The sequence below is a fragment of the Homo sapiens genome, chromosome 6 (assembly GCF_000001405.40).
Source record: "Homo sapiens chromosome 6, GRCh38.p14 Primary Assembly".
In the NCBI taxonomy this organism is placed as follows: Eukaryota; Metazoa; Chordata; class Mammalia; order Primates; family Hominidae; genus Homo; species Homo sapiens.
Genome location: NC_000006.12, coordinates 115,244,939 through 115,253,835, shown reverse-complemented (window position 1 = coordinate 115,253,835; position 8,897 = coordinate 115,244,939). Strand labels below are relative to the sequence as shown.

At 40.1% G+C, this 8,897-nt stretch overlaps 2 annotated features.

Annotated features, from left to right (window-relative positions):
* Positions 2,790 to 3,289: an enhancer, noted in NCBI's record as "H3K4me1 hESC enhancer chr6:115571711-115572210 (GRCh37/hg19 assembly coordinates)". NCBI's record gives its function as "activates a minimal SCP1, AML or CMV promoter by ChIP-STARR-seq in primed H9 embryonic stem cells {active_cell/tissue: H9 hESC(primed)}" and the evidence as "EXISTENCE:reporter gene assay evidence [ECO:0000049][PMID:30033119]".
* Positions 3,290 to 3,791: an enhancer, noted in NCBI's record as "H3K4me1 hESC enhancer chr6:115571209-115571710 (GRCh37/hg19 assembly coordinates)". NCBI's record gives its function as "activates a minimal SCP1, AML or CMV promoter by ChIP-STARR-seq in primed H9 embryonic stem cells {active_cell/tissue: H9 hESC(primed)}" and the evidence as "EXISTENCE:reporter gene assay evidence [ECO:0000049][PMID:30033119]".

The following is an 8,897-nucleotide window of genomic DNA, read 5'->3' as shown; positions in this document are numbered from 1 at the left end:
AGTATTTTATTGAGGATTTTTGGATCAATGTTCATCAAGGGTATTGGTCTAAAATTCTCTTTTGTTGTTGTGTCTCTGCCCGGCTTTGGTATCAGGATGATGTTGGCCTCATAAAATGAGTTAGGGACGATTCCCTCTTTTTGTATTGATTGGAATAGTTTCAGAAGGAATGGTACCAGCTCCTCCTTGTACCCCTGGTAGAATTCGGCTGTGAATCCATCTGGTCCTGGACTCTTTTTGGTTGGTAAGCTATTGATTATTGCCATAATTTCAGAGCCTGTTATTGGTCTATTCAGAGATTCAACTTCTTCCTGGTTTAGTCTTGGGAGGATGTATGTGTCGAGGAATTTAGCCGTTTCTTCTAGATTTTCTAGTTTATTTGCGTAGAGGTGTTTGTAGTATTCTCTGATGGCAGTTTGTATATCTGTGGGATCGGTGGTGATATCCCCTTTATCATTTTTTATTGTATCTATTTGATTCTTCTCTCTTTTCTTCTTTATTAGTCTTGCTAGCGGTCTATCAATTTTGTTGATGTTTTCAAAAAGCCAGCTCCTGGGTTCATTGATTTTTTGAAGGGTTTTTTTTTTGTCTCTATTTCCTTCAGTTATGCTCTGATTTTAGTTATTTCTTGCCTTCTGCTAGCTTTTGAATGTGTTTGCTCTTGCTTTTCTGGTTCTTTTAATTGTGATGTTAGGGTGTCAATTTTGGATCTTTCCTGCTTTCTCTTGTGGTCATTTAGTGCTATAAATTTCCCTCTACACACTGCTTTGAATGTGTCCCAGAGATTGTGTTCTGTTGTGTCTTTGTTCCCATTGGTTTCAAAGAACATCTTTATTTCTGCCTTCATTTCGTTATGTACCCAGTAGTCATTCAGGAGCAGGTTGTTCAGTTTCCATGTAGTTGAGTGGTTTTGAGTGAGTTTCTTAATCCTGAGTTCTAGTTTGATTGCACTGTGGTCTGAGAGACAGTTTGTTATAATTTATGTTCTTTTACATTTGCTGAGGAGAGCTTTACTTCCAACTGTGTGATCAATTTTGGAATAGGTGTGGTGTGGTGCTGAAAAGAATGTAAATTCTGTTGATTTGGGGTGGAGGGTTCTGTAGATGTCTATTAGGTCTGCTTGCTGTAGAGCTGACTTCAATTCCTGGATATCCTTATTAACTTTCTGTCTCACTGATCTATCTAATGTTGACAGTGGGGTGTTAAAGTCTCCCATTATTATTGTGTGGGAGTCTAAGTCTCTTTGTAGGTCACTAAGGACTTGCTTTATGAATATGGGTGCTCCTGTATTGGGTACGTATATATTTAGGATAGTTAGCTCTTCTTGTTGAATCGATCCCTTTACCATTATGTAATGGCCTTCTTTGTTTCTTTTGATCTTTGTTGGTTTAAAGTCTGTTTTATCAGAGAGTTGGATTGCAACCCCTGCCCTTTTTTGTTTTCCATTTGCTTGGTAGATCTTCCTCCATCCCTTTATTTTGAGCCTATGTGTGTCTCTGCATGTGAGATGGGTTTCCTGAATACAGCACACTGATAGGTCTTGACTCTTTATCCAATTTGCCAGTCTGTGTCTTTTTATTGGAGCATTTAGCCCATTTACAGTAAAGTTAATATTGTTATGTGTGAATTTGGTCCTGTCATCATGATGTTAGCTGGTTATTTTGCTCGTTAGTTGATGCAGTTTCTTCCTAGCCTTTATGGTCTTTACATTTTGGCATGTTTTTGCAGTGGCTGGTACCGGTTGTTCCTTTCTATGTTTACTGCTTCCTTCAGGAGCTCTTTTAGGGCAGGCCTGGTGTTGACAAAATCTCTCAGCATTTGCTTGTCTGTAAAGGATTTTATTTCTCCTTCACTTATGAAGCTTAGTTTGGCTGGATATGAAATTCTGGGTTGAAAATTCTTTTCTTTAAGAATGTTGAATATTGGCCCCCACTCTCTTCTGGCTTGTAGAGTTTCTGCTGAGAGATCTGCTGTTAGTCTGATGGGCTTCCCTTTGTGGGTAACCCGACCTTTCTCTCTGGCTGCCCTTAACATTTTTTCCTTCATTTCAACTTTGGTGAATCTGACAATTATGCGTCTTGGAGTTGCTCTTCTCGAGGAGTATCTTTGTGGCATTCTCTGTATTTCCTGAATCTGAATGTTGGCCTGTCTTGCTAGATTGGGGAAGTTCTCCGGGATAATATCCTGCAGGGTGTTTTCCAACTTGGTTCAATTCTCCCCGTCACTTTCAGGTACACCCATCAGATGTAGATTTGGTCTTTTCACATAGTCCCGTATTTTTTGGAGGCTTTGTTCATTTATTTTCTTTCTTTTTTCTCTAAACTTCTCTTCTCACTTCATTTCATTCATTTCGTCTTCCATCACTGATACCCTTTCTTCCAGTTGATTGCATCAGCTCCTGAGGCTTCTGCATTCTTCATGAAGTTCTCAAGCCTTGGCTTTCAGCTCCATCAGCTCCTTTAAGGACTTCTCTGCATTGCTTATTCTAGTTATCCATTCGTCTAATTTTTTTCAAGGTTTCTAACTTCTTTGCCATTGGTTTGAATTTCCTCTTGTAGCTCAGAGTTGTTTGATTGTCTGAAGCCTTCTTCTCTCAACTCGTCAAAGTCATTCTCCATCCAGCTTTGTTCCATTGCTGGTGAGGAGCTGCGTTCCTTTGGAGGAGGAGAGGCACTCTGGTTTTTGGAGTTTCCAGTTTTTCTGCTCTGTTTTTTCCCCATCTTTGTGGTTTTATCTACTTTTGGTCTTTGATGGTGGTGATGTACAGATGGGTTTTTGGTGTGTATGTCCTTTCTGTTTGTTAGTTTTCCTTCTAACAGACAGTACCCTCAGCTGCAGGTCTGTTGGAGTTTGCCAGAGGTCCACTCCAGACCCTTTTTGCCTGGGTGTCAGCAGCGGTGGCTGCAGAACAGTGGTGGCTGTAGAACAGCGGATTTTGATGACCCGCAAATGCTGCTGCCTGATCGTTCCTCTGGAAGTTTTGTCTCAAAGGAGTACCCTGCCGTGTGAGGTGTCAGTCTGCCCCTACTGGGGGATGCCTCCCAGTTAGGCTGCTCGGGGCTCCAGGACCCACTTGAGGAGGCAGTCTGCCGGCTCTCAGATCTCCAGCTGTGTGCTGGGAGAATGACTACTCTCTTCAAAGCTGTCAGACAGGGACATTTAAGTCTGCAGAGGTTACTGCTATCTTTTTGTTTGTCTGTGCCCTGCCCCCAGAGGTGGAGCCTACAGAGGTAGGTAGGCCTCCTTGTGCTGTGGTGGGCTCCACCCAGTTTGAGCTTCCCGGTGGCTTTGTTTTCCTTATCAAGCCTGGGCAATGGCAGGCGCCCCTCCCCCAGCCTCGCTGCCACCTTGCAGTTTGATCTCAGCTGCTGTGCTAGCAATCAGTGAGACTCTGTGGGCGTAGGACCCTCCGAGCCATGTGCGGGATATAATCTCCTGGTGTGCCGTTTTTTAAGCCTTTTGGAAAAGCGCAGTATTAGGGTAGGAGTGACCCGATTTTCCAGGTGCCATCTGTCACTCCTTTCTTTGACTAGGAAAGAGAACTCCCTGACCCCTTGCACTTCCCAAGTGACGCAGTGCCTCGCCCTGCTTTGGCTCATGCACAATGTGCTGTACCCACTGTCCTGCACCCACTGCCTGGCACTCCCTAGTGAGATGAGCCCGGTACCTTAGATGGAAGTGCAGAAATCACCCATCTTCTGCATCGCTCATGCTGGGAGCTGTAGACCAGAGCTGTTCCTATTCAGCCATCTTGGCTCTACCCTTTATTTTTTCTTCTACTAATTTGGGGTTTGGTCTGCTCTTACTTTTCTAGTTTTTTTGGGTTATTTGAAGTTTTTTACTTCTTTGATGTAAGCACTTAGAGATATAGACTTCCCTCTTAGTACTGCATTCACTGTATCTCACAGGTTTTGGAATGTTGTGTTTCTGTTATTCATTTCAAAAAAATTTCATTTTCCTTCTTAATTTTTTCATTTACCCACTGGTCATTCAGTGGCATATTGTTTAATTGCCATGTAGTTGTATAGATTCCCAAACTCATTATTGATTTCTAGCCTTACTCCATTATGGTCAGAGAAGATATTTGATATAATCTCAATTTTTTCAATGTTTTAAGTCTCATTTTGTGTAAAATGTTGTCTATCCTTGAGAATAATTTGTGCGATGAGGAGAATATATTCTGCAGCCATTAGATAAAATATCCTGTAAATATTTTTCAGGTCCATTTGGTCTATAGTACAGATTACGTCCAATGTTTCTATGTTGATTTTTCTGTCTAGGTGATCCCTCTAATACTGAAAGTAGGGTGTTAAAATTTTTAGCTATTACTGTATTAAGGTTCAGCTCTCTCTTTAGTTATAATATTTGCTTTATATATCTGGAATGTTCCAGTGTTGGGGCATATAATATAATGACTTTTGTTTTATATTGTTTTGTCGTGAAACCTCTTTTGTCTGATATAACTAGAGCTACTCCTGCTCTTTTTTGGTTTCCACTTATATGTAATATCTTTTTCCATTCCTTTATTTGGAGGCTATGTATGTCTTTATAGGTAAATTTGTTTCTTATAAGCAATAGATTGTTAGATCTTATGTTTTTTAATACATTAAGCACTTCTGTGCCTTTTGATTGAAGAGTTCCATGTATTCATATTCAAGGTTATTATTGATAAGTAAGAACTTACTCTTGCCATTTTGTTTCATCTTTTCATGTAACAAATACACACACATGTTACAGGTGGTATTGTGGTCTACTCTTTCTTCTTTTCTTCCTTCCTGTCTCCCTTCTAATGAAGGTGATTTTCTCTGGTGCATGTTTTAATTTCTTGCTTTTTATTTTGTGTATCTGTTATATGTTTGTTGTTTTGAGGTTACTGTGAAGCTTGCAAATAATATGTTACAACCCATTATTTTAAACTGATGACAATTTAACACTGATTGCACACACTAGCTAACAAGTAAGCAAAGAGTAAACTAATAAAAATTCTACACTTGAACTTTGTCCCCCCTTTTTATATTTCTGTTCTTTTATATTTATATCTGATTGTACTGTTTTGAAAAGTTGTAGTTATTATTTTGATTGGTTTACCTTTTAATCTTTCTACTTGAGATATTAGTTTATACACCACAATTACAGTGTTATAATGTTCTGTTTTTCAGTGTATTTACTATTACTAGTGAATTCTATGCCTTCAGATTATTTCCTATTGCCCATTAACATCTTTTTGTTTTCAAATTGAAGAACTCCCATTAGCATTTCTTGTATGACAGTTATGATGTTGATGAAATCCCTCCCAGCTTTTGTTTGTCTGGGAAACTGCTTATTTCTTGTTAATTTTTGAGGGATTTTTTTTCTGGATAGACAATTCTAGAATAAATGTTGTTGTTTTTTTTTCTCTCCTTGAGCACTTTAAATATGTCATGCCACTCTCCAGCCTATAAATTTTCCACTGAAAAATCTCCTGCCACACTTAATGGAGCTCCATTATATGTTATTTGTTTCTTTTCTCTTGCTGCTTTCTTTACCCTTGACCTTTGGAAGTTTGATTATTAAATATCTTGATATAGTCTTCTTTGGGTTAAATCTGCTTGGTGTTCTATAATCTTCTTGTACTTGAATATTGATATCTTTCTCTAGGTTTGAAAATTACTCTGTTGTTATGTCTTTGAATAAAATTTTCCTATTTCTTTCTCTATCTCCACTTTAAGGCTAATAACTCTTAGATTTGCCCTTTTTTCTAGCTCTTGTACATGTGCTTTATTCATTTTTATTTTTTTCTTTTGTCTCCTCTGACTATATATTTTCAAATAGGCTTTCTTAAAGTTTACTAATTCTTTCTTCTCCTTTATGAATTTTGCTTTTAAGAGATCTTGATGCTTCTTCAGTATGTCAATTGCATTTTTCAGCACCAGAATTTTGCTTGATTCTTTTTATTTCAATCTCTTTGTTAAATTTATCTAATAGTATTCTGAATTCCATCTCTGTGCCATCTTGCTATCTTGGATTTTGTTGAGTTTCCTCAAAACAGTATTTTGGATTATCTGTATGAAAGGTCACATATCTCTGTCTCTCTGGGATTGGTCCCTGATGCCTTATTTAGTTCATCCTGTGAGGTCATGTTTTCCTGGATGGTCTTGATGCTTGTAGATGTTTATAAATGTCTTCACATTGAAGATTTAGGTATTTATTGTAGTCTTCACAGTCTGCATTTGTTTGTACCAATCCTTCTTGGGAAGGCTCTCCAGGTATTCAAAAGGACTTGGGTTTTGTGATCTAAGTCTTTGGTCACTGCAGCTGTATCTGCATTAAGCCTAGCAATGCTGTGATTCTTGAAGACTCATAGAGGTAGCACCTGTTTGGTCTTGGATAAGATACAGAGGAATTCTGTAGATTCCCAGGCAGACTCTTGTTCTCATCCCTTACTTTCTCCCAAACAAAGCCCCTCTCTCTCTGTACCGAGCTGCCTGGAGCTGGGGAAGCAGTGACACAAGCACCCCTGTGGCTACCCCAACTAGGACTGCACTAGGTCAGACCTGAAGCCAGCATAACACTGGATCTCGTCCATGGCCCATGGTAACTACTGCCTGGCTACTGCTTATGTTAACTTAAGGTGCTAGGGCTCTACAATCAGGAGGTGGCAAAGCTACCAGGCTTATGTCCTTTTCTTCGGGGTAACAAGATCCCCCCCAAGTACTGCATGGGTCTGAAGATGCTGTCTGGTAGCCAGGAGCTAGAATCAGAGATGTTAGGAATCTACACGTTGCTGTATTCTACAGTGGCTGCATTGGCCTCCAAGCCACAAGATAAAGTTCTTTTCCCTCTTCCCTCCCCTTTCCACAAGTAGAGGAGTCTTTCTCTGTGGCCACCACCATCCCAGGGCTGTGACACGTACTACCTAGCTATCACCAATGTTCACTCAAGGCCCAAGGGCTCTTCACTCAGCTTGTAGTGAATGCTTCTAGGCCTGGGACTCTTCCATCAGGGCAGTGGGATCTCCTCTCATGCAGGCAGGTTCAGAAATGCCATCTAAAAGCCAGGGCCTGGAATTGGGACGCCCAAGAGCCCACTTGGTTCTTTACCCCACTGTGGCTGAGCTGGTATCTAAGCTGCAAAACAAAGTCTCCATTAGCCTTCCCTCTCTTTTTCTCATAGCCACCACAGCTGGGAATGTGCTGGGTCACACCAGAAGCCAGCACATCTCTGAATCTCACTCAGAGCCTGCAGTGAGTCCTGCCTGGATACCACTGCTGCTTATTCAGGGCCCAATGTCTCTTTAGTCAGCATGTGATGAATATTGTTAGGACTGGGTCCTTTGCTTCAGTGCAGTGGGTTCCCTTTTGGCCCAGCATGTGTCTGGAAATGTCATCTGGAAGCTACGGCTTGATATGGAAGCCTCAGGACTTTGCTTATTGCCCTTTGCTACTGTGGCTGAGATGGTTTCCAAGTTGCAAGACAAAGTCCTCTTTACTCTTCCCTCTCTCTCCTCAAGCAGAGGGAAGGAGTCTCTTCCAGAGCTGCAAGCTGAGCTTCTCCAGGTTAGGAGAGCAATGGGGCAAGCACTCTTTTGGCTGCCATAGCTGATATCTCACTAGTCGGTGTGCATCCCAAGTTCCCTGGCTCTGAGCCCTGCATAGCACCAGAACTTGCCCAGGAACTGCAGGCCTTGTTGCCCAGACTGTCTTTCAAGTTTATTTAATACCCCAGATCACTTTAGCCTGAGGTGGCAGGGCTTGCCAGAACTCAGATTTCAATCCTTGAAATGGGTGATTCCCTTGTGGCTAGGTCTGGTCTAAATGCTCCCTTCATAGGTGCTGGCTGAGTTGTACCCTGTGTTGCTTTCCACTGTGATAGGGCAGCACTAGGTTCCCATGCAAAGTCCCACAATCGCTGTACTCTTCCTCACCCAAGCACACGGATTCTTTCTCTGTGCCCTGTAGCCACTGCCAGGGGATGGGGGAGGCAATGATATCAGTGATTCAAGACTGTCTTTTCTACCTGCCTCAGTGCCTCTTTCAATGATATGAAGTTACAAGCAGGTACTGTTATCACTCACCTGATTTTGGTTCTTATGTGGAAGCTTCTTTGTGTGGATATAGTTATTCAACTTGGTGTTCCTGTGGGGAGGATGATCTGTGAAGGCTTCTATTCAGCCATCTTGCTCTGCATCATCTTATCTTGGTTAATAATATCTGATTAACATGCAAGCCTGATATATTACCCATCAAAATCTAGAAGCATTTTCATATCCTTTAAAAAAGTATTGTGATGTTACATTTATTAGTATGTTTTGAAGGAATGATCTTCAAAATATATATCAAAGTATATATTTGAAGAAATTATCTTATGGAAAATTGACTAAAAATAAAAGTTTATAAAGTCCTCTGTAATTTTTCACAGTGAGTTCAAAAGATATAAACCTAAGTTACCTTAATAGTACCACAAATTAAATTCCTGTGTAAGAGAGTAGATTTTTTCTTCATACAGGCCCTGTCCTGTATCTGAGATTTAATAGAATTGTTTCACAGCATATGTTTCATACAATAATATAATTGTAAAACCTTAGAGAATGGTGGGTTTGACCTATTGAAAGCTCTAGTAATGATTTGAAGAGTTGTTGGTACTTTGGTGCATAATGTTTATCATGTGATAAATGATAATTTATTTACTAACAGCGTTCTACAGCCCTGAAAGCCCCTCTAAATATTATGTTCAATTTGACAAAAGGTAGAAAAGTCAGATTATAAATCACCTCTAGAAAGATCAGAGACTTAAAAGTTATAAATTTTATTTTTAATTATAGATGTTAACTATTTAGTGCACAGTACTTAATGCTTATATTACTGAACTTTTATGATACTAATAACAGTGAAATGCATCCTGGTTACATAGCTTTTATC